The sequence below is a fragment of the Homo sapiens genome, chromosome 17 (genome assembly GCF_000001405.40).
Source record: "Homo sapiens chromosome 17, GRCh38.p14 Primary Assembly".
Classification (NCBI taxonomy): Eukaryota; Metazoa; Chordata; class Mammalia; order Primates; family Hominidae; genus Homo; species Homo sapiens.
This window is the reverse complement of record NC_000017.11, coordinates 51,219,293-51,245,791: the sequence shown is the minus strand read 5'-3', so window position 1 is coordinate 51,245,791 and position 26,499 is coordinate 51,219,293. Positions and strand designations below refer to the sequence as shown.

The 26,499-nt window shown below is 40.1% G+C and overlaps 1 protein-coding gene across 21 annotated transcripts in view; it reads left to right on the top strand.

Annotated features, from left to right (window-relative positions):
• The window catches only part of MBTD1 (mbt domain containing 1), an 83,534-nt gene that overhangs the window by 15,167 nt on the left and 41,868 nt on the right, over positions 1 to 26,499 (top strand). For 13 of the 21 annotated variants that reach the window (XM_011524926.4, XM_047436322.1, XM_011524928.3 and 10 more), the window contains 2 exons: positions 20,583 to 20,784; positions 25,329 to 25,468. In XM_011524926.4, coding sequence (XP_011523228.1) covers positions 20,631 to 20,784; positions 25,329 to 25,468 — 294 coding nt within the window. In that variant the 5' untranslated portion in view covers positions 20,583 to 20,630. Of the gene's footprint in view, positions 1 to 20,582; positions 20,785 to 25,328; positions 25,469 to 26,209; positions 26,327 to 26,499 lie in introns of those variants that run through there. The other 8 variants (XM_011524930.2, XM_047436320.1, XM_005257468.6 and 5 more) reach the window with 2 other exon arrangements.

The following is a 26,499-nucleotide window of genomic DNA, read 5'->3' as shown; positions in this document are numbered from 1 at the left end:
ATCTAGCTCTGCAAGATATCAGAATACATTCCAAACCCTTGATGATTCAGAAAGCAAGACATTGGCACAAGAACAGACCAGGGAAATAGTGTGAAATCCAGAAATGGACACAACTACATATGGAAACCTAGCACTTAAAGTGGTATTTTAAATCACTGAGATAAAGATGGACATTTTGATAAAGGATGTTGGCGCAACTAGATAGCCATTTGGAAAAAATATTAGAACTGTTCTTCATGCTATACATAATAATAAAGTCCAGACACATTAGATCTAAATATAAAAACTATACAAATACCAGGAAAAAATACGGGAAAATTTTTCTGTACCATGCTTCAGGAAAAAATTTTCTGACTCATAATCAAGGTACAATGAAATAAAATACTGATACATTTTGCTATCTCAGATATTTTAAATGTATGGGGAAAAGCTTCATGTGCAAAATCACAATTTTCCATACATACAGATAAAGGGTAAATGTAAATTTCTCAATGCCAAGAACTTTGAAGAAAATTAAGACTAAAAACCCTAAAGAAGAAAAAAAGTAGGCACATAAAACCACACAAAATAAGATAACAAAAAAATCCTCTAGGGCCGGGCACAGTGGCTCATGCCTGTAATCCCAGCACTTTGGGAGGCTGAGGCGAGCAGATCACGAGGTCAGGAGATCAAGACCATCCTGGCTAACATGGTGAAACCCCGCCTCTACTAAAAATACAAAAAATTAGCCGGGCGTGGTGGCACACGCCTGTAGTGCCAGCTACTCGAGAAGCTGAAGCAGGAAAATCACTTGAACCTGGGAGGCGGAGGTTGCAGTGAGCCGAGATCATGCCACTGCACTTCAGCCTGGGCGACAGACTGAGAACTCCATTAAAAAAAAAATGCTCTGTAGAACTGCATTAAGTGCCCAGATCTTGGCTTTCAATACCAGTTCTTTGCTAATAAGGACTAGAGTTCCTTGGAAAAATTATTGATTTCAGGGCTGGAGCAGCATAGGTATAAAATGAGCCTGGAATATCTTGATAAGGAAGAAAGTAAGGAATTCCTCAAAAAAAAGATGGAAGTATGTCAAAAGGACACAGGAGGTCTGACATGTTGGGTCATGCCTGTAATCCCAGCACTTTGGGAGGCTCAGTGGGGCAGATCACTTGAGGCCAGGAGTTCGAGACCAGCCTGGTCAATATGGTGAAACCCTGCCTCTACTAAAAATACAAAAATTAGCCTGGCTTGTTGGTGCACACCTGTAATCCCAGCTACTCAGAAGGCTGAGGCACAAGCATCACTTGAACCCGGGAGGCAGAGGTTGCAGTGAGCTGAGATCATGCCACTGCACTGGCAACAAGGGGAGACTGTCTCAGGAAAAAAAAGAGGACACAAGAACCAGTTCAGGGACATCATTGTGGCCACATCTGGCATATTTTGAGCCCCAGAATAAGAATAGTGATGAATGATAAACCACTGGGAAAAAAATAGAAGTTAGTGAATTCATACTGATAATGAATAGGTAGGTATGTCAATAAAAGGGGGTTATGACAGGATTTCTTGCTGACTGATAAAAAAGTGCTGGAGTTGGGAAATCGTTTTGCAGCCATCATATTAATGTTTGGTTTGGCACAAGTTATCATTAGATGCCAAATTTAAGAATGGCGGTGAGATTTCAGTGAGAAACAATGTGGTCATATTTCAAAGTGTGTCCCTGAGGTTGCCGATTGGTTGCAAGGAGAAATACGTAGTATACAGTGGAAAACTGGACTACACCTTAACAAAGTAATCAACATTAACATCACCAGTGAGAGACAGATAGGAATCTTGTGACTCTGGTTACAATTTCCTGAGGACAAATGTAATATTATGGGGTACATAACCAGAGTCTCCTAAGGACACAGACACATCAGATGAACCTCAAATGAGAAGCATTCTGTTAAGGGGGAAGGGGCTTGCTTGCATTCTTCAAAAATAATTTCAAACGAAACACGTCAGTGTACACCTGTAATCCCAGCTACTCAGGAGGCTGTGGTGGGAGGATCGCTTGACACCAGGAGTTTGAGTCCAGTCTGGGCAACATAGGGAGACCCTGTATCTAAAAAAAATTAAAACTAATCTTCCAGATTAAAGGACACTAAAGAGATAGATACGACTTTTTAATTTTTATGTGATCCTGGTCTTGAAGGAGGAAATGCTATAAAGATATTGAGTCAGTTGGAATGTGGATGGTGAATTAGGGAAAAGTATCATATATTGTCAGATTTCCTAAAACTGATAACTGTGCTCCAGTTATAAGAAAATGTTTTTATTCCAAGGAAATGCACATTGAATTATTTTGTGATACGTAACTTTCAAATTATTCAGAAAATCTATGTGTTTAGAGAAGAAAAATATGGGGCAAAATATTAGTAATTGTTGTGTTTGAGTAGAGTACACAGGACTTCATTGTATTATTCTTCTAACTTTCCTGAAAGTTCAAAGTTACTTCCAAATAGAGAGCTTAAAAAAAAAAAAAAGACAGTGACAACTATACTGGCATACCATTTTTCATCCATCATTTTGGGAAAAATTCAGACACTTGGCAATACATTCCCAGCACCTCTGGGGAAACAAGCACTCTCAATATTGCTGGTGCAAATGATTACATTTCTTTGGAGTGGAATTTGGCAATATCTAACAAAATTACAAATACATATATCCTACACAGCAATCCCATTTCTAAAAATATACCCTGGAGGTATACCATGCACAGTATAAACACACAGATACATAAGTTCGCTGCAGCGTATTTGTAATTGCAAAACATTGAAAACTAAATGTTGAAACGAGAGATTTGTTGAATAAACATACACAATGGAGTACTATGCAGCTGCAAGAAGAATAAGGAAGATGTCAGTGCACTGAAATGGAATGATTTCCAGGGTATATTTCTAAACAAAAACACAGGAGAGAGGAATATAGTATGTGACTTTTGTGAAGGAAATGGAAATAAGAAAACATATATATAGCTGTACATATACTGTTTACTTTTTCAAAATGTACACAGGAAGAATGAACCGGAAAGTGATAAAGTTGGTTACCCGCTTAACAGGGTGGGTGGTGAGGCAGGGAAAGAAATGACATTTGAGTTACACCTATTTGTATATTTCTTTATTTTTGCAAGAAGGGTGATCTTCCCAGTAGTCCCCCCAAAAAATGAAATAAATCCAATAAGGATGATGGAGGAGACTAAAAACCAAAAGAAACCAATTCTAACTTATTTCAAATCAGTAACAACCACATTGAAATAAATAATCCAAGGAACTTTTATACTCAGTAGTCAGTCTAGAGAAAAGTGACTGCAAAGAAATACTAAACTCCAACAGTTTTTTTGTAGTGATATGCTGTAATGCTTCTGTAACTATTTAAATGTCTAAAAGGGTTGAGCAAATGAGTAGATAGGTTTTGTTAAGAGCCAGCATTCTGTTGAAAAAGACACAAATGTGAAGTGTGGGAAAGTGAGAAAAAAACCCTGTGGGGATGGCTTGGAGTTGGGGATTTAAGTGTGAACTCATAATTTTCTAAAATACATGTGTGTATATATATGTCACATACATGTGTGTATACTTTGTCCAGTGGAAAGGCCCAGAAGCAAAGAGATACCCAAATAGCAATAAGTACATTGAATACCTAGATCTTTATTTCTTATATCATTCCCCACTAAAAGATACCAAGGCTGTTAGGAGAAATGTTTGGTTCCAGGGCTGGGACAGAGAAATGGTTATAAGATAAGCCTGGAGTATCTTATTATGCAAGAAAGTAAGGAAATGCTCAGAAAATGATAGAGGCATGTCAGAATGACACAGGAGTAGGCTTTAAGGGGCTCCCACTGGCCTACTCTGGGACAGTATGATCACCCAGATAATTAAGGACAATAACGAGTTATAAAACCTTGAAAAGTAGGCTGGGCATGGTGGCTCATGCCTGTAATCCTAGCACTTTGCGAAGCCAAGGCGGGCAGATCAGTTGAAGTCAGGAGTTCGAAACCAGCCTGGCAAACATGGTGAAACCCGTCTCTACTAAAAATAAAAAAATAAATAGCCTGGCATGGTGGCAGGCACCTGTAATCCCAGCTACTTGGGAGGCTGAGGCAGAAGAATTGCTTAAACCCGGGAGGTGGAGGTTGCAGTGAGCCAGGATAGCACCACTGCACTCCAGCCCGGGCAACAGCGAGACGCTATCTCAAAAAAAATACAACATTGAAAAATAGAAATCCATGAGTTGATACCAATAATAAATAAAAAGAGAAAAAAGAGAGCTGTTTCTTAGAGAATGCTGACTGGTGAACGTGCAGGGAATGTTGGGGTTGGGAAATCATCACAGTGAGAGACTGGGCAAGAATCATTGGATCCTAAATCTTGAGTGAAAATTTAATGAGCTGAATATTTGCATTATCTTTAAAGTGTCTCCCCATAGATTGCTTATTAAAGAAAATAGTAAAAGTACAGTGGAGAAACCAGACCATATCTAGACCAGGTCATTAAAATTAACACCAGCCAGGTGCAGCAGCTCACACCTGTAATCCCAGCACTTTGGGAGGCCAAGGCAGGAGGATCACATGAGGCCAGGAGTTTGAGACTAGCCTGGCAACATGGCAAAACTCCGTCTCTACAAAAAGTACAAAAATTAGCTGGGTGAGGTGACACGTGTAATCCTAGCTATTCAGGAGGCCGAAGCAAAAGGATTGCTTGAACCCTAGAGGTGGAGGTTGCAGTGAGCCGAAATCACGCCACTGCACTCCAGCCTGGGTGCAGCCTGGGAGACCCTGTCTCAAAGAAAAAAAAAAATTAACATCACCAATAAGGGGTGGATGGACCTCGTGCCTCTGGATTTGATGCCTTGAAAATTATAGCATCAATTAGGCAGTGCAACCTAAGTATAATCCTGAGGGCACCTAAAACCCAAAACAAGGAAATTTTTTATTTTTTAAAAGAGGAAATCTATACAGAAGAATTCCAAATACTTAATATGAACATTCCACTCTCAAGAAGGGGAGTATATAACTCCCTGTTCCTTAAATGTGGGGTATACATAGTCACTTTGTTCCAAAGAGTATAGTTTAGGAAAGGATTCAGAGTAACTTCACAGCAGAGAAACCTGATAAACACTACCTCAATCAGATAGATGATCAAGTTCAACGTCAGCATTGATAAGTCATGTTAGTGTGTATCGTTGAAATGCTCTGATACAAAGGACACTTTACCTCTGCCATGTACCTGCCAAAAACATAACCCCAGCCTGATAATGAAGAAACTATCAGACAAATTCCAATAGAACAGTCAGCAAAATATCTGACCAAGATTCCTCAAAACTGTCAAGGTCATGAAAAACCAAGAAAACCTGAGAAATTCTCACAACCAAGAGAAGCTGTATGACAACTTAAATAATGAAAACTTAGGGTGACTAAATGTACTGTGGGATCTTGGAACAGAGAAAAGAACAGTAAAAATGAAGGAAAACTGAAAATGTAGACTTTAGTTAATGACAGTGTACCTATCAGTATTTCATTTATTGTAGCATGTTCAATACTAATGTAAGATGTTAATAGGGGAAACTGGGCCATATGGGAACTCTACTGAATTTTCACTTTTACCATAAATTTATTACTTCTCAAAAAATAAAGTCTTTAAGAAAAAAAGACTTTTGAGAACAGTTATAGATTTATAGAAAAAGGGTAAAAAGTCTTAAAGGGACCGCATTCTTAAAAGACATCAAATATAAAAAAAGATAAGGTCTCCCTCTAGATTAAAGACTAAGGCACATGACAAATGAAATATATGACCCTGGGCTGAAGAAGAAAAGAAGATCTTGTAAAGGGTGTTGTTGAGTCAGTTGACGAAACTGGAGGACGGATGGTAGATCAGATGAAAGTATTGGGTTAATGTTAAATTTCTTGAAGATGATAGCTGACCTATGATTATGTAAGAGAATATCCTTATTACTAGGAAAGGCACATTGAAGGATAAGGCAATAGTTCTCAACTGGGATTTTTTTTTTGTTTTTTTTGTTTTTTGCTTCCAGGGGACATTTGGCAATGCCTAAAGGTGTTTTTGGTTGTCACCGCTGGGGGATAAAGGCGAGTGTTACTGCCACAAATGATGCTAGACATCTTATAATGCACAGGCTAGCCTCCTACAAAAAAAGCATTTTCTGGCCCAAAGTAATATTGCCAAGGTGAAAAAACCCTGAGCTATGCTTCTACTTCTGATTTAGAGGTAAAAGGGCTTAAAGCATATAAACCATTCATTAATGGTTGAGAGGGAAAAATATACGTGTAGAGAGGAATAATTGGGAGAAAATGTTAATCATTGGTCAGTCAAGATAAAGGTTGTCTAGATGTTCTTTGTATTGTTGTAACTTATAAATTTATAAATAAAAAGTTAAGTATTTTATGGTAAAAACCTATAACCATCCTTAAAGAAAGTGATCTTATAATAAAGGACATGATCATATAATAAAGGGCAGTAATTTAAATTTAATGAATTAAGTTTTATGAAAAATAAAAAGTGTATTAGTTGATACAAATAGACATTTGCTCTTTTACTGTCTATCCCCTAAACTGTTTTTATTCAAGTTGATCCAAAAAAATTGTTTTTTTAATCTCATTGGGAAATGAGGGGCCATGTTGTTTTCACGCTTATCCAGTTCATTGACTTTTTTTTTTTTTTGAGATGGAGACTCGCTTGGTCGCCCAAGCTGGAGTGCAGTGGCATGATCTTGGCTCACTGCAACCTCCTCCTCCAAAGTTCAAGCAGTTCTCCTGCCTCTGCCTCCCGAGTAGCTGGGACTACAGACGCACATTACCACACCCAGTTAATTTTTGTATTTTTAGTAGAGACAGGGTTTTACCATGTTAGCCAGGCTGGTCTCGAACTCCTGACTTTAAGTGATCCATCCACCTCAGCCTCCCAAAGTTCTGGGATTACAGGCATGAGCCACCACACCCGGCCCACTTCATTGACTTTTATCACAAGTTTTGTTTAAATTGCTAGTGTTTATATAGTACATAAATAGTATTTACAGCTTCCCAGCCAGTCACTGTACTGTTTCCTTTCTGATACAACTTTGTTTCCTGCAGTTACTGATTGGTTCACTTTTTTCATTTAGTCAGTGTTGAAAGTGCCTGTTGCCTTTTTCCCCATGCTGCTGCAACAAGCTCCAAACACAAAGATTCATATTTTTCCTAGAATCCTTCCAGAGCCATCATCCATCTTCTTTTTCTAATACAATCTGGTTGTTCTCTAAACCCGCTATACAGCTGTAACGCTGAGACATCCCTTTATCATTGCTTTAGAAACTCTCGTTACCTCTGTGCTGTACTGAATCATGTAGTTCCTAAATCAACCGTCTTCCTCTTTCTTGGTTACTTTGATGTTATAATGAAACATATCTTCTAATCATCTCCTGAGAAAAAAGTGAACATGAGAGCTAAGTTTTTCGAAGGGGCTTCAGGGGCATATCTGAAAATACATTTTCTACCATTAGACTTGGTTGATAATTTGGCTGGCTATAGATTTTTTTAACAGCCTTATTGAAGTAAAAATTGACAAAATTAAACTGCACAGAAACATAGGTGTACGCTCATGAAACCTTCACCACAATCTAGGTAGTATAATCCTCATCTCTAAAAGTTTCCTCATGCTCCTTTATAACTCCCCTTTTCCACTCCTGGCCCCCACCCCATCCCCAGGTAATTACTGATCTGCCTTCTGTCACTATACAGCTAGTTTGCATTTGTAAAAAGAGTCATACAGTAAGACGTTTTTGGGTCTGGCTTAGGTTATCCACGCTGTGTATATCAATAATTCATTCCTTTTTGTTACCAAGAAGCAAAATGAAATCATTGTATGGACGTACCACAATTTGTGTAATCCCTTATTGATGGGCATTTAAATTGTTTCCAGTTTGGGGCTATGATGACCATTGGTGTTTATGTCTTTGTATGGGTATATGCCTTCATTTCTCGCAGATATATATGAGTGGAATGGATGGTAGGTGGTTGTTTAACTTTTTAAGAAACTGCCTGCTTTCCAACATGCTTGTACCATTTTACATTCTCATCCACAATGTATGAGAGTTCCATTTGCCACACTGACTGTAGAGGACTTTTATAAATTTTAGTCATTCTAATAGGTGTGTTACAGTATCTTGTGGTTTTAATTTGTGTTTTCTCAGTGACCGCTGATGTTGAGCATCTTTTCATGTTGTTACTTGCCATCTGTATATCTTTGAATTTCTGTTTAGATCTTTTGCCTCTTTTTATGAATTGGGTTATTTCAGTCATTGAATTTTGATACTTCTTTATGTTTCTAGATACAAACCCCTTATCAAATCTGTGATTTGCAAATATTTTTCCCAGTCTGTGCTTGTCTTATTCTCTTAAACATTGTCTTTCAAAGAGCAGAAATGCTTCATTTTGACAAAATGTAGTTTATGAAATTTTTTCTTTTTCTTTTTTTTTTTTTTTTTTTTGAGATGGAGTCTCACACCATCACCCAGGCTGGAGTGCAATGGCACGATCTTGGCTCACTGCAACCTCTGCCTCCTGGGGTTAAGCGATTCTTCCACCTCAGCCTCCCGAGTAGCTGAGATTACAGGCACCTGCCATCATGCCCAGCTAATTTTTGTATTTTTGTAGAGACAGGGTTTTATTATGTTGGCCAGACTGGTCTTGAACTACTGACCTCAGGTGATCCGCCCGCCTCGGCCTCCCAGGTGCTGGGATTACAGACGTGAGCCACCGTGCCTGGCCGAATTTTTTTTCCTTTATGGGTTATATTTTTTTTGTCATAGCTAAAAACTTCTTGCTTAACACAAGATTGTTAATATTTTTCCCAGAAGTTTTATAGAACTCTTACGTTAACTTACATTTAGGCCTATGAACTACTTTCAGTTGATTTTTATATATGATGTGAGGTATGGATCAAAGTGGTATTTTGGCATATGAATGTCTTAATTCTTCCAGCACCATTCGTTCAAAGACTATTTTTTTTTTCTCCACTAAATTGCCTTTTCAGCTTTGTCAAAAATCAATTGACCGTATATATCTATAGATATATAAGCAAACAGAGAGAGGTGATGGAGGTAGGCCTGTGAGGGCAGCAGAGGCCTCCCTGCCTCGGGCCTTGTGCCACACCATTGAACTGTGCCACATGCTTGGAGGGCCAGAAGATGAACAAGACTAACCTTGATGAGCAATGCACAAAGTGGCATAAAAAACATAGGCCAGACGCAGCAGCTCATGCCTGTAATCCCAGCACTTTGGAAAGCTGAGGCGGGCAGATGACTTGAGGCCAGGTGTTTGAGACCAGCCTGGCCAACATGGTGAAACCCTGTCTCTACTAAAAATAAAAAATTAGCTAGGCATAGTGGCACACACCTGTAATCCTAGCCACTCAGGAGGCTGAGGCAGGAGAATCGCTTGAACCCAGGAGGTGAAGGTTGCAGTGAGCTGAGATCATGCCACTGCACTCCAGCCTGGGCAACAGGGTGAGACCTCATCTCAAAAAATAAAAACAAAAACATAGTGTCATTACATAGTGTGAACAAAGCAGTGTGAACAAAACACTGGGGATATAGATATCTATAGGTAGAGATGTGAATCTATAGATATATATAGATTCTGTAGATATCTATATAGATATTGACATATCTATAGGTATGTAAATCTATAGATATATATATACACTCTATATGTATCTATAGATATCTATATATAGACCCATATATACCCATAAATAGACATACATATAGAGAGAGACCGATAGATAGATAGAGGTCTATTTATGGACTCTTATTCTGTTTCATTGATCTTTTTGTCTATATTCATGCTAAAACCCTACTGTCTTCATACTGTAGCTTTATAATATATCTTGGAGTCAGGAAGCTTTAGTCTTAACTTTGTTCTTCTGAAATTTGCTTTGGCTATTCTAGAGCCTTTGCAGTTCCATATGAATTTTAGAACAAGCTTTTGATTTTTACCCAAAAATCTGCTGTGATTCTCATTGGATTGTGTTAAATCATAAATCAATTTGGGAAGGACTGACATTTTAATAATGTTAATTTTTCTGATCCATGAACATAGTACGTCTTCCTAGTTTGCTAAGAATATTTTTCAGGAATCAATGTTAGATTTTTGTCAAGTGCATTTTCTGCATATTTCAAGGTGATTATATGGCTCCTCTTTGGTCTGTTAATGCGGTGAATTTATTGATTTTCAAATGTTGAATTAGTTTTACATTCCTGGAAGGAACATACTTGGTCATGCTAAGTTCTTTTTATATATTGTTAGGTTCAATTTGCTAAAATTTTGTTAACAATATTTTCATCTAGCTGGGCATAATGGGTCACACCTGTAATTCCAGCACTTTGGGAGGCTGAGGTGGGTGGATTACCTGAGGTCAGGAGTTCGAGTCCAGCCTGGCCAACATGGTGTAACCCCCCATCTCTACTAAAAATACAAAAATTAGCTGGGTATGATGGCACATGCCTGTAATCCCAGCTACTCAGGAGGCTAAGGCACGAGAATAGCTTGAACCCAGGAGGCGGAAGTCGCAGTAAGCCAAGATGTCACCGCTGCACTCCAGCCTGGACAACACAGTGAGACTCTGTCTCAAAAGAAAAAAAAAATTGCATCCTATATTCATGATATTTATTCTGTAGTTTTCTTCTAATTGCTTTATCTGGTTTGGGGATCAAAGTGATACTGGCCTAGTAGAATGAGTTTGTAAACTGTTTCATCCTATTCAATATTCTAGAAAAGTTGATATATAGGCCGGGCGTGGTGGCTCATGCCTGTAATCCCAGCACTTTGGGAGGCCAAGGTGGGCAGATCACCTGAGTCAGGAGTTTGAGACCAACCTGACCAACATGGAGAAACTCCATCTCTACTGAAAATACAAAAAAAATTAGCCAGGCGTGGTGGTATATGCCTGTAATCCCAGCTACTTGGGAGGCTGAGGCAGGAGAATTGCTTGAACCTGGGAGGCGGAGGTTGCGGTGAGCCGAGATTGCACCATTGCGCTCCAGCCTGGGCGACAAGAGCGAAACTTCGTCTCAAAAAACAAAAAGAAAAGTTGGTATAAAGTCTGTAGTATTTCCTAAGTAGAATTCCCCAGTAAAGCCATTTGAGCCTAGAGTTTCATTTGTGGGAAGATCTTTAACAAATTTAGTTTTTTCAGTAGATACAGGATTATTCAGGTATGTTTCTTTATGAGTGACATTTGGTTCTATGTCTCTGAAGGAATTTGTCCATTTCATCCAAGTTGTCAAATTTAATGTCATAAGGTTGTTGATAATATAGTCTTTTTAATATTTTAATATCTGTAGAATCTGCAGCAATGTTACTTTTTTTTTTTTTTTTTTTTTGGAGACGGGGACAAAGTCTCTCCTCTGTGGCCCAAGCTGGAGTGCAGTGGTGCAATCTCAGCTCACTGCAACCTCTGTCTCCCGGGTTCAAGCGATTTTCCTTTCTCAGCCTCCTGAGTCGCTGGGATTACAGGTGCATGCCACTACACCCAGCTAGTATTTGTATTTTTAGTAGAGATGGGGTTTTGCTACATTGGCCAGGTTGGTCTCGAACTCCTGACGACCTCAGGTGATCCACCCACCTCGGCCTCCCAGAGTGCTGGAATTACAGGCATGAGCCATCACGCCTGGCCTTGTTACTTCTTTCATTTATGATATTGGGATATTTTGTCTTCTTTTTTTTGTTTTTCCTATCTCTGATTTGAGGTTTATCAGTTTTATTGATCTCAAAAAACCAACTTTGTTTTCTTTTTTTTTCCTTTTTTCTATTTTTAGTTTCATTTATTTTCACTTGGAGCTTTGAGTATAGATTTTCTGGTAAGAATTTTTAGAAATCTGAAGGCAATACATTGATCAGTCTTGCTGTTGAGAAGTCCACTGATATTTTGATTCCCTTCTCTTTTTGTGTAGCATAGTGCCGAAGCTTTTAATACCAGTATTGGCAGAGTTGTGAATTGTTATAATGATGCATGTTGGTATAAATTTTTTTTTAAATCATTAAGCTGGGCTTATATGGTCTCTTTAAATATGGATGCCCCATTTTGGTCTTGGAAATTTGTTTTGTTTTGTTTTTTTCTTTTATGTAACTTTGTTCCCATCTGTTTTCTCTTTCTTGAATATCTCTTAATTGGATTTTGGATCTTCTAGGTTGAACTCTTATTTTTTTCTTTCTTGTTGCCTAGCTTTTTGTCTCATGTATACACACACACTCGCTTTTTGAAAGATTTCCTTGACTTTATCATCCATTTATTGAATTTGTTTTCCCATTTTTGTTTTTAAATTCCAAGGTCTATCTTGTTCTCTGATAGTATCCTATTCTTACATCTCTGAAGAATTCGTAATTTTTTTTAGCGTTTTCTTATGCTGTTTGCTTTTCTTCTGTTTCCTATAGATGCATCTTTCCTGGAGATTTGTTTTGTCCTTTCATATACTTAGAGGCCTTAATGTTTAGGTACTAAGCACCTGATTAGACTGTCTACCTGAGTAGAGCTTGTTGACTGCTGAGCTTCACTGTGGTGATTGGTTGCTTTTTAATATCTTTCCTTTGATGTTCTGCAGTTTTACTATGGTCTGTTTAGATGTGGATACCTTTTTGTTGTGCCTAATTTACATTATAGTTTTATCTGTGAATTCATGTTCTCTCTCTCTCCCTCACTTTTTTTTTTTTTTTTTTTTTTTTTGGTGAGGGAAGGTCTCGCTCTGTCACCTAGGCTGGAGTGCAGTGGAGCAATTGTGATTGCACCTCACTGCAGACTGAATCTCCTGTGCTCAAGTGATCCTCTCATCTCAGCCTCCTGAGTAGCTGGGACCACAAGCACATACCACCACAGCTGCCTAATTTTTTTTATTTTTATTTTTATTTTTTTGTAGAGGCAGTGTCACACTTTGTTGCTCAGGCTGGTCTCGAACTCCTGGCCTCAAGCGGTCCTCCTGCCTTGGTCTCCCACAGTTCTGGGATTATAGACATGAGCCACTGTGCCTGGCCTAATTCATGTTCTCATTTCTGCAGAATTCTTAGCCAGTATCTAATTCAACATTGCCTTTCTCCATTCTCCATACTCACTCCTTTAAGAATTCTTATTAGACTTTTATTGGATCTTTACATTCTGTTCTCTTATTTTGACATCTTGTTTTCCAGTTTTCTATTTTTCTTTGCTGCATTTTGAGTGTTTATCATGTATCTTCCATTTTTTAATTCTCTTTAGCCATGTCTAATAAGTTGGTGTTTGTTTTATATTGCTTATTTTTCAATAATATTTTTCTTATTAAACAACTCATAATGCTTGTTTTATGTTCTGTCTCTGTCAATTCCAATGCCCAAAGTATTGGGGATTCTTAATCAGTTTCTGCTGATGCTTGCTCATGGTGGATTACTTATTATGTGTTTGCTATTTGATCGTGCGCTCATACTTGATAAAATTGGTGGGAATGCTGAAAGGCCTGAATGGTAGGTGACTTATTTCCTGATCTAATTTAGGTTTGCTTCTGCTAGGTATCAAAGGGCACTGGTAGCCTGGAACCACTTTAATTTCTTGGCCTGGGAGTTCCCTGACCATAGAGGGAAGAGAAAATTTCAACCTCAGACTTAACTCATGAGGTCAGGCCTGTGATTACAAAATCCCAGAGAAGCCTCTTCACCGAGAGCGTGGACCTGAAATGCTCCCTCATAGGTCTTTTGAGTATAATCAACTTCTTTCTCACTCATCCTTTTAATGAAGTTGCAGACCCTTTCAGGGGTTTTGGTCTAATGTAGGAGTTTCCAGTTAAGCGCCCTCATAGTAAATAAAAGGTAAGTTTTACATAGGATAAATCAATTATAGTTTATATATTAATATTTAGTTCGCTGGTATTCTATCCTAATGTATATATAAAAAAAAAACTTAGATAAGTCACTGTAGTGTTTGCAAGGGGGAAAAAGTACAAAAAAAAAAATCACTTCAGAAAACCACATTGCCTAAATAGAATAAAGCTTATGAACTAGTGTTCCTTAGATTAGGAGTATGTCCAGGTATTCATTCCTCCAATACTTAGGACAGTCAGAGGCCTTAGGCTGGGTGCATCCAGGGGTTTATTCCCCTTGTGTTGTGCAGATGATCATTTTCTGTGTGTGCTAGGACCATGGAAAAGATCAGAGAACATTTCTCTAAAACAGTCCTAAAAGGTACTCTAGAAAAGACTGCATACTGTATATTCCTCTTTAATCACTATAATGTTCATAAGCATATTAAAGTCTCCAGAAGACCTTGACGTGAGGAAAATTTCCCAAACATCTTTGACCATGGTACTTTTAAAAAAAAAATACTAACAGCTTGTAATTATTGAAAACAAAATATCTGTAGTCATTGACCTCCTGAAATTTTAAGGCTATATTCCCTGAAAATAGAGTCAGAATAAGATATTCTGGGTTGACATTTAAGGGTCAATAATCTTACATTAGCTGCTAACCAAGTTGGCTATATATTAATAGTAGACAAGCCTATATGAAAACTATAGATATAAAAGGTCTGGCCGGGCTGGTGGCTCACACCTGTAATCCTAGCACTTTGGGAGGCCAAGGCGGGCAGATCACAAGGTCAGGAGTTTGAGACCAGCCTGACCAACATGGCGAAACCCCATCTCTACTAAAAATACAAAAGTTAGCCTGGCGTGGTGGCAGGCGCCTGTAGTCCCAGCTACTCAAGAGGCTGAGGCAGAAGAATCGCTTGAACTCAGGAGGCGGAGGTTGCAGTGAGCTGAGATCGTGCCACTGCACTCCAACCTGGGCAACAGAGCAAGACTGTCTCAAAAAACAAAAAAAACTATGAGTATAGAAGGTCGCCTCCAAATGGAGGTGAGCTGTATGACTCTATTAGAACGTAAAATCTAGCCAGTGTTTATTAAATGTGTAGAGCAGGCTCTGTGATAAATAGTTTATAATGTCTTCCCATTGCCTCCAGGAAAAAAATCAGTTTCTTACCCTGGCCTACAAGGGCCCTCATAATCTGGCCCCTACATCCTCTGACCTCTCCCATACCTTTCACACTGGGTGCCAGCCACACTGGCCTCCGAGTGTGCTAAGTTTATTCTAGCCCAAAAGCCCTCGTCTTGCACTTCCCTTTGCCTAGAATATGCCAGCATCAGATATTTAAGTGGCTGCCTTTTTGTCCTCATGGTCTTACCTCACTGAGATTGTTCCTCACTGCTGAATCTCAGCTAATCGCCCCTGCTTGAGTGACTCTGCCCTCACACAGCCTTGCTTGGTTTCCTCCTACCAGTAGCTTACAGTCTTCCTGAAAACCATGGATCTTGTCTGCTTTGCATGCTTTTCTGTCTTTAGCCTTGGTTACTATGAGACCCACAAATACTTGATAAATGTCGAATGAGTAAGAGAAGAAACCCATAACTTGCACAAGTTCACAGCTAACAAGTATCAAAGTTGAGTCTTAACCCATGTTTGTCAGAATTCTGTGTTCATAACACCACACTGTATCTAAATGTGGTTGTCCCATTCCCTTCCACATTGTCAGTTCAAAGTGCTATTAGAACTTTTCTTTTGTATTGCCTTCAAGGTCTCACTTCATCTTTTAGATCTTCTGATTGTAGCAAATCTTGATTCTTTGAAAATACCTTTGATTTATAGAAATACCTAAAAGTTATTCAGAACCAAATCTGCTGAATCAGGTTAGATGACCAAGCTAGGGAAGACTGATGCAGGGAACAGGAGGAATAATTCTGAAGTGTCCACAAATGATAGGTTTTTCTTTTTAAAATTGTATCTAAAAGGCAGTACTAAAAAAGTATACTGGCTGGGTGCAGTGGCTCACGCCTGTAATCCCAGCATTTTGGGAGGCCGAGACGGGGATCATGAGGTCAGGAGATCGAGACCATCCTGGTTAACGAGGTGAAATCCCATCTCTACTAAAAATACAAAAAATTAGCCGGGCGTGGTGGTGGGCGCCTGTAATCCCATCTACTTGGGATGCTGAGGCAGGAGAATGGCGTGAACCCAGGAGACGGAGCTTGCAGTGAGCCAAGATTGCGCCACTGCACTCCAGCCTGGGTGACAGAGCAAGACTCTGTCTCAAAAAAAAAAAAAAAAAAGTATACTAAAAATGCCTGGGCTGTGGCAACATTATTAGAACGTGTATATAACCTCCCAAGGGAACTTCTTTGGTAATGTAATATTTCCATTGTGTGGACTAAGAAATCAGTTTTTGTAGCTTTCATAGCTGCACCTGATACAACTGAAAATTAGTTTCCTGTCTCAATGCAAATGTTTAATACCTGACAATGACATGTGGATGGTTTTATCTTGTCAAACTTAGGACAACAGATTTCAGCCTTGTTACTGGTCATGTAATACTAGCTTTGTTTTGTGGTCATTTAATACCAAAAAGAAGGTAGACTAGCCAGGAAAAAAAAATTTTAGCTTAAAGTGTAGTGTGAGAGGATTAAAAAAAAAACTGTATCTGTGTAGCAAAAGAAAAAGGATAGGTGCCAAATCTCAAAGATTCTTGAGTTGATAGTTTTCATCTCTCTGGTTATAACTCACTTAATGTTTTGTAATGGTTTGGTTTTGTTTTCTTGTTTGTTTAGTAGAGATAGGGTCTCCCTATGTTGCCCAGATTGGTCTTGAACTCCTGGGCTCAGGCAGTCCTCCAGCCTCGGCCTCCCAGAGTGCTGGGATTACAGGCGTGAGACACTGCACCTGGCCCATTTGTTTTTTCTTTTTCTTGTTTTTTTTTTTCTGTTGTTTGTTTGTTTGTTAGGTTTAGGGACATGAGCTGGGCCTCAGCCAGTGGCCCGTCTCCTGTTTTTATTTTGCATTTGAGATACCTTTCCCTTTTCCCACCCACCCACCCCCGAGAAGGACTCTTACTCTGTCACCCAGGCTGGAGTACAGTGGCGCCATCTCAGCTCACTGCAATCTCTGCCTCCCGGGTTCAAGCATTTCTCCCTGCCTCAGCCTCCCGAGTAGCTGGGATTACGGGCGCCTACCACTGCTCCCGGCTAATTTTTTTTTGTATTTTTAGTAGAGGTGGGGTTTCGCCATATTGGCCAGGCTGGTCTCAAACTCCTGACCTCAGCCTCCCAAAGTGCTGGAATTACAGGCGTGACCCACCGCGCCCAGCCTCCCAATTTTTTTTTTTTTTTGTCCTTTTTATTGTCTCCTATTTTCTTTTCACTTCTCACAAAGCCTGTAGTTATGCAATTTATTTTGGAAATGGTTAGAGTAGCAATATTAGTTTTGTCTTGTTTTTTTTTTTTTTTCGTGGTTTGAATGAGGCAACATCTTGGAGGAGACATAAGACCAGCATTCACTAAAGATGATATAACTTCTTTGTATCTTTCTTTGAAAAGGAAATTTTTTTAATACTTCTATTTTAAGTTCATGGGTACTTGTGCAGGTTTGCTACGTGGGTAAATGTGTGTCATGGGGGTTTGTCGAACAGATTATTTCATCACCCAGATACTAAGCCTAGTAGCCTAGTACTCATTCGTTATTTTTCCTGGTCCTCTCCCTCCTCCCACCCTCTACCCTCCAATAGGCCCCAGTGTCTGCTGTTTCCTCTATGTGTCCATGTGTTCTCATCATTTAGCTCCCACTTATAAGTGAGAACATGTGGTATTTGGTTTTCTGAGGAAATACTGTTTAGCTTGAGAAAATTGGGTTGGGTTTTAAACCATTGTTTATGTTTTTTTAAAAACTGAATAAATATATATGTAGAAATATTATCTCCTACAATTTCTGAAATATTTGCCATCTTAAAATTGTAAAAGGTAAAATTTTCTTTTTTTTTTTTTTTCTTGAGACGGAATCTTGCTCTGTCGCCCAGGCTGGAGTGCAGTGGTGCAATCTTGGCTGACTGCAACCTCTGCCTCCTGGGTTCAAGCGATTCTCGTGCCTCAGCCTCCCAAGTAGCTGGGACTACAGGCATGCACCACCACGCTCGGCTAATTTGTATATATTTTTAGTAGAGACGGGATTTCCCCACGTGGACTAGGCTGGTCTCAAACTCCTGACCTCAGGTGATCTCCCCGCCTCAGCCTCCCAAAGTACTGGGATTACAGGCGTGAGCCACTGCACCCAGCTGAAAGGCAAAATTTTCTGTTAGACCCTTCAGAGCTTTTAGCAGTGATTTTTTTTTTCTTTTCCAACATGATAAAGTATCAAGCAAAGTGGTTCTTGGTTTTGAGTTTGAGACAGGGTCTCACTCAGTCACCCAAGCTGAAGTGCAGGGGCACGATCGTGGCTCACTGCAGCCTCGACCTCCTGAGGTCAAGCTATCCTCCTACTTCAGCCTCCCAAGTAGCTGGGACCACAGGTGCAAGCCACCACACTTGGCTAATTTTTGTATTTTTTGTAGAGATGGAGTTTTGCCATATTGCCCAGGCTAGTCTTGAACTCCTGGGCTCAAGCAATCCACCAGCCTTGACTTCTCAAAGTACTAGGATTACAGATGCGAGCCACCATGCCCAGCCAGCAAAGCAATTTTTTTTTTTTTTTTTTTTTTTTTTGGAGACAGAGTCTCGCTCTGTCACCCAGGCTGGAATGCAGTGGCTCAATCTCAGCTCACTGCAAGCTCCGCCTCCCAGGTTCATGCCATTCTCCTGCCTCATCCTCCCCAGTAGCTGGGACTACAGGCACCTGGCACCACACCCAACTAATTTTTTATATTTTTAGTAGAGGCGGGGTTTCACCGTGTTAGCCAGGATGGTCTCGATCTCCTGACCTTGTGATCCGCCTGCCTCGGCCTCCCGAAGTACTGGGATTACAGGCGTGAGTCACCGCGCCCAGCCCAAAGCAATTTTTAAAAACGTCTGTGTGTTGGCTGGGTGCGGTGCCTCACACCTGTAATCCCAGCACTTTGGGAAGCCAAGGCAGGCGATCACTTGAGGCCAGGAGTTCAATACCATCCTCACCAACATAGCAAAACCCCATCTCTACTAAAAGTACAAAAGTTAGCTGGGCATGTTGGCACTCACCTGTAGTCCCAGCTACTCGAGAGACTGAGGCACAAGAATCACATGAGCCTGGGAGATGGAGATTGCAGTGAGCTGAGATCATACCACTGCACTCCAGCCTGGGTGACAGAGCGAGACTCTGTCATCAAAAAAAGAAAGAAAAAAAGCATCCATATTTTCTGGATACTCCAAATTGGTCTAGAAGTTTAGTTTTAGAGATGAAAGGCAAATTTAAAAATCATGTTTGTTATGTATATTTCACCACGATTTTTATTTTATTTTATTTTATTTTTGAGACATGGTCTCTCTCTGTCACACAGGCTGGAGTGCAGTGGCATGATCTCAACTCACTGCAACCTCCACCTCCCAGGCTCTAGTGATCCTCCCACATAGCTGGGACTACAGATGCGTGCCACCACACTCAGCTAATTTTTGCATTTTTTGTAGAGTCAGGGTTTCGTCATGTTGCCCAGGCTGGTCTCAAACTCCTCAACTCCTCAAACTCCTCTGACCACCTCGGCCTCCCAAAGTGCTGGGATTATAGGAGTGAGCCACCATGCCTGGCCCACAATTATTTTTATATGGTTTTTTTGTTTTGTTTTGTTTTTTTGTGTTTTTTTTTGGTAGAGTGGGAGTCTCACCATGTTGCCCAGGCTGGTCTCAAACTCCTGGGCTCAAGCTATCATCCCACCTCGGCCTCCCAAAGTGCTAGGATTAGGCTGGGTGTGGTGCCTCACACCTGTAATCTCAGCACTTTGGGAGGCCGAGGTGGGCGGATCACCTGAGTTCAGGAGTTTGAGAACAGCCTGGCCAACATGGCAAAACCCTGTCTCTACTAAAAATACGAAAATTAGCTGGGTGTGGTGGCATGCACCTGTAATCACAGCTACTCAGGAGACTGAGGCAGGAGAATCACTTGAACCCAGGAGGCAGAGGTTGCAGTGAGCCGAGATTGTGCCACTGCACTCCAGCCTGGGCAACAGAGTGAGACCGAGTCTCAAAAAAAAAAAGTGCTAGGAATATAGGCATGAGCCACCACGCCCATCCCATAATTAAAAAGAAAAAAGAAATCTGGGCGAGGCACACTGGCTCACGCCTGTCATCCCAGTGCTTTGGGATGCAGAGGCAGGACATCCCTTGAGGCAGGGAGGTGGCTCACATCCATAATCCGAGCACTCTGGGAGGCTTGAGTGGGCAGATTGCTTGAGACGAGGAATTAAAGACCAGCCTGGGCAACATGGCAGAACCCCATCTCTACAAAAAAAAAAACACAAAAATGTTTATGGGATGGTGGCACTTGCCTGTAGTCCCAGCTACTCAGGAGGCCAAGGTGGGAGGATCATCTGAGTGCGGGAGGTGGAGGTTGCAGTGACCGAAGATTGTCACTGCACTCCAGCCTGGGTGACAGAGCGAGACTCTGTCTCAAAGCATTTTTTAAAAAAAGAAAAAAAAAAGAAAGAAAATGGTTATTTCTCAGGGCTGCGTTTTCATTTATCAAATCTCATTTACCAGAATTTGTGCTAGGGTCTTTTAGGGGGTGTGTATGAGTGTTGTGTCATGTGTCACTGGTTTCTCTTACTTCAAAGACTGAACATTCTTCACGATCTGAAAGGAAAAGAAGAGATTCTTTCGGGATGTTTGACGGTTATGATAGCTGCAGTGAGGACACAAGCAGCAGCTCCAGCTCCGAAGAGAGTGAGGAAGAAGTCGCTCCTTTACCTTCTAATCTCCCGATTATCAAAAACAATGGGCAAGTCTACACATACCCAGATGGTAAATCTGGCATGGGTGAGTATTTATAACCTTCACCTGTTCTACAGCTTTATGTTTAAGGGTGTGTTTTCATTTGGTTTCTTCTGTCATTTCCCCTTCCTTAGAATTATTAAGGGGCAGTTTGAAGAGCTGACGTTTATAATTCGAGATAAGATCACTGAGTTGGTGTTTAACTCTTTATTTTGCCTACCTCCTGGTGGAAAGCAAATACAACAACAACAAAAAAAGGCCAGTGAGAAACTTCATGTGGATATAAATTTAGTAATTAGATAAGAAATGCCTCTGTAACTGAAAGTATAAGTGCATAGGATCATGGGCTTATAAAATTGAAAGAGACATTCGAGGTTGGGCTCCCTCCTCTATATTAATTTCTTATAATTTCCGTTTTAACATAACTGGTGCTTGGATATTCTCTGACTCAGTAAGGAATTTCTCTCTGCCTAAAATCTGGCTTGAAAAAGAAAAAGGAAATGAAAAAGGAAGCAGTTTCATTTCTTAGTATCTCAAATTACTAGAATAGTGTCTTTATTGAACCAAAATTTCCTTCCTCCAACTTTTATCTTTTGGTCTTAGTTTTGCCTTTTTAACTTTGCTTCTGGGAGTCTGGAAAGTTTTGCTTTTTAAAGCTACACAGAATAATTCTAATCCTTGTTCTAATGACATCTTTTTTCTCCACAATAGAACCCTTCGTTCTAGTTTATCTCTAAGGCATACCAAGGAGCCATAGTTGCTTCAACCATTTCTCTCATGGTGTATCCCAGTGATTTAATTCTTTGATATCCTGGTCACTGTATTCTGGGGATACTTCAGATTATGTGGTAGTAGGGTAACAAGTCATCCTGATTTGCCTGGAACTGTCCTGGTTTTACCATTGAAAGTCCCACATCCTGGAAATGTGGGAACCAAACAAATGGTCACCCTGTGTGAGGCCAGAAGATCATTCAACCTTTATCTCCCCTTTTCAAGGCACTGTTTCCATTCATGCCACCAAAATTGCTTTAGCTTTCTTGAAAATGATAATGAACTTGTAAATAACTGATATCCTTTGACCTTTACCACATGAACTAACCCAGTTTAAACCAGTCTTACTGCAGTTAACTTTTTAAACCCAAGATGTAGGACTTTGGATCTCTCTATATAACCTTTTTCTTACTAACTTTCAGTCTTAGAAATTGTTGTTGTTGTTGTTGAGACAGTCTCACTCTGATGCCCAAGCTGGAGTGCAGTGGTGCAATCTCGGCTCACTGTAGCCTCCACCTCCCGGGTTCAAGCAATTCTCCTGCCTCAGCCTCGCAAGTAGCTGGGACTACAGGCCTGCACCACCATGCCTGGCGTATTTTCATATTTTTAGTAAAGATAGGGTTTCACCATATTGGCCAGGCCGGTCTCAAACTCCTGACCTTAAGCAATCTGCCTGCCTCGGCCTCTCAAAGTGCTGGGATTACTGGGGTGAGCCACCACGCCCAGGCTTTTGTTGTTGTTGTTGTTGAGACAGTCTTGCTGTATTACCCAGGCTGGAATGGCAGCGGCAAGATCTCGACTCACTGCAATCTCTGCCTCCCGAGCTCAGGTGATCCTCTCACCTCATCCTCCCAAGTAGCTGGTACTGTAGGCACATGCTACCATACCTGGCTAATTTTTGTATTTTTTTCAGAGACGGGCAATTTTCACCATATTGCCCAGGCTGGTCTCAAACTCCTGAACTCAAGCGATCCACCTGCCTCAGCCTCCCAAAGTGCTGGGATTACAGGTGTGAGCCACTGCACCCTGCCCAGTCTTAGAAATTTTTTATTGCTAATTCTGTCATCTAATATTGAATGCTGTGTCATCTAATCTTCCAGTTTTATATCATTTTCAGTTTTGATAATTCTGCCCTGTTGGTCCTATTCTAGTCTTTTGGTTAAAAAGATGAATAGCGTGGCCAGGTGCGGTGGCTCATGCCTGTAATCCCAGCACTTTGGGAGGCCGAGGCAGGCAGATCATGAGGTCAAGAAATCGAGACCATCCTGGACAACATGGTGAAACCCCGTCTCTGCGAAAAAAAATTGAAAAAAATTAGCTGGGCATGGTGTCATGTGCCTGTAGTCCCAGCTATTCAGGAGGCTGAGGCAGGAGAATTGCTTGTACCCAGGAGGCAGAGGTTGCAGTGAGCTGAGATCACGCCACTGCACTCCAGCCTGGCTACAGAGCGAGACTTCAAAAAACTAAAAAAAATTATGAACAGCTCAGGGGCTGATAGAGAGTCATGCAGACCATATCAAAAAACTTCATTTATCAGGATTCACTGGGTTTGGTCATCCTCCAGTTAAAACCTACCTGGGTGTCGCTGGGCGTTGGTGGCTCACACCTGTAATCCTAGTACTTTGGGAGGCTGAGGCGGGCAGATTGCCTAAGCTCAGGAGTTCGAGACCAGCCTGGGCAACATGGTGAAACCCCATCTCTAACAAAAAATTAGCCAGGCATGGTGGCGTGTGCCTGTAGTCCCAGCTACTCAGGAGGCTGAGGCAGGAGAATTGCTTGAATCCGGAAGGCGGAGGTTGTAGTGAGCCGAGATGGTGCCACTGCACTCCAGCCTGGGTGACAGAGCGAGACTGTGTCTCAAAAAAAACAAACAAAACAAAACAAAAAAACTACCCGTGTCTTCTACTCCAGCTGAAATTTCTCAGTCCTGTTATCAAAGCTACATGAGATTTTATCAAATGTGTTAGCTCCTGTTAGTGTATATTCTTGCCATGGTTTGATTATAACATACCAGCCTAGTAATCCTATCATAAAAGGAAATAACGTTTATTGAAGCTTTGTGTGTGCTAGCATCTATTTTAAATACTGGAGATAGCAGATGAACAACACAGAATAAGTTTCCTGTCCTGATGGAACTTGCATCCTACTTGTGGGAATTCTAGTTTGACATGTATAATTTCTGGCAAAGATTCACTGTTTCCTTGGGATCACAACTTTTCTATCTAGGTGTTCAGAACGTTCTTTAACAATCTATTCTAGAATTTTTGCAACAGAAAACCGTTTAGTTTTCTCTCCCAGTAGATACCCTTTGTTCACCTGCAATCTTCTGGCATTTTTATCTTTTTTCCATGATTTCTCATAGATTTGTAAGTAAGTACAGTTGTCCCCTGGTATCCATGGGGGATTGGTTCCAAGATTTCCCTCAGATACCAAATTCACAAATGCTCAAATTCCTTATATAAAATGATGTGGTATTTACATATAACTTACGCACATCCTTCCATATACTTTAAATCATGTCTAGATTACTTATAGCTAATACAATGTAAATGCCATGCAAATAATTGTTAATACTATACTGTTTAGAGAATAATAAGAAAAAAACGGTCTGTGTATGGTCAGTACAGACGCAATTTTTTTTTCCCAAAATATTTTCAGTCTGCTTTTGGTTGAATCCACAGATACAGAACCCATGGAAGCACAGAGCCAACCGTACCAGTTACACTACAGGCTTCTCCAGTTTACCTGTTTGGGTGGAGGCTTTAACTCACTAAGGCAGTTATTTGCTATGTTACTTTTTGTTTATCTTTTTTAAACTTCAATTCTTGTGAACCTTGTTCTAATTCTACCTTTCAAATTATTGTCTATTATGCAATAGTAGCCAAGAGTTCTGCTGTTTCCCACTATCACTGATTAATAATAGAGCACCTACGTCAAACTTGTTTTGTTTTTTGTTTGTTTGTTTTGTTTTGTTTTTTGTTTTTGATTCAGGATCTCCTTCTGTTGTCCAGGCGAGAGTGCAGTGGTGCGATCATAGCTCACTGTAACCCTGAACTCCTGGACTTAAGCAGTCCTCCCGCCTCAGCCTCCTGAATAGCTGGGACTACAGGTGTGTGCTACCATGCCTGGCTCTTTTTTATTTTTATTTTTTGAAGATACTGGATCTTGCTATCTTGCCCAGGCTGGTCCCATACTCCTGGCCTTGAGCCAGTTCTCCTGCCTCGGCCTCCCAAAGTTCTGGGATTACTGGCATGAGTCACTACACCTGGCCTCTACCTCAAACTTTGAACCCATTCCTTTTTTTTGTCCCCTAAACATAACTTGAAGGAATCCTCATACAGCTCTTAGCATTTTTCCAAGTATTACCTCTTTTTAAGTTTCAACCTTTGCAGTATTTTAAAGGCCTGTGTTATACTTTGTTATTAATCCTCAGTTGTGTGGCACTTTTCATCTTTCAAGTGTAATCATTTCAAAAGCTGGAATTTGTTGTATATGAAAATGCCTGGCACATGGTAAGCACTAAGGAAATGTTGGTTGAATCCAGCGTATCTGCCCTGTTTCTGTTGACCCTTTGTAAACCTTTCAGACCTCAAGCCACTATCAGACCTTATAGAGCCCATCACCATGGCACAATACCAGTGTTCTCTCTGACTTCTCTGTGCAGGCTTCTTTATCATTTGTATAGGAGATAGAAGAAATGTTCAAGGCAAATTTTTTAATTAAAACTTTCAGATGGCAGGAGAAATTATTTAAACTGTTAGATGAAGATTGATTTTATTATATCATCATAACACCAGTGTTTTTATTTTGTTAATTAGCTACCTGTGAGATGTGTGGGATGGTTGGCGTCCGAGATGCTTTTTACTCTAAAACAAAGCGTTTCTGTAGCGTTTCATGTTCAAGAAGTTACTCGTCAAACTCCAAGAAGGCAAGCATTTTGGCCAGACTTCAGGTAACGGTACAGAAACTTTCTTACTTATATCCATTATTTCTATGGCTTTTGCCATTTATCTGTCATTTGACTGTGATTCACTGTACTCCACCTCTGCCCACTCAGTTATGGTTTTATACCACATCTTGAGGAAACATGTGAGCCCCAAAGTTTGTTCAGCCTATAAAATTGAAAAACTATTTTAAATGGATAAGGCATACTATCCAAATAAACTATTATTTGCAGAAGTTAATTAAAATATCCTTTTTCCAAATAAGTATAAACACTTTTTTATATACAGAAATTGAAGACATTTTCCTGTTTCCCCTTGTTTCCTTTTGTGTTAACATCAAGGTAGAATCTTTCAACATTTGGGGGGAAATAATTTAATCTCTGGTTTTATTTTCTCATCGTCCTCGCTTTGTACTTTTTAGTACAATCCATTTGATACATTGACCAAATGTATTTGGTTAATCCAACTAACCTTTTTGACAACGCTCATGGTATGGAAAGAAAATCGTCTTGCTTTAAATGTACATCAGTGCCTACAAAATGACTGGAGACTTGACCATTTGACTAAGTTCTTACTATTGTATTGTAAACTACTTTTTAAAGGCATTAACTTAACTGATTTTTGCAGTATTTTTATTGGATGATCACAGTCTTCTCATTTAATTTATTATTGTGATCATTACATAGCACTGAAAGGGTTATTTAAATCCTCCAAATTAAGGAAATACATCACTTAGATGTATTTCTATATTTCAGATAGACAGTACCTAAAGATCCTGAGCAGTGGTCTGTACCCAAATGGATGGCAGTTTGTCACACTGTGAATTTGGCCCATGATCATTTTGTCATTGATCTTTTGCGTTAGCACTAAAGGTATAAACCTCAGTCACTTGCTCTTTGAACATTAAATTATCTTCTCTTACCATATAAATAGCAATGCTTGGCAACCTGCATGAGTAAATAACCACTGGTTCTATCTACTGTAAGAAGGAATCAAGTATCCACCACAGCCTATATTTTAACATCTTGTGGGATATAATTTTTTA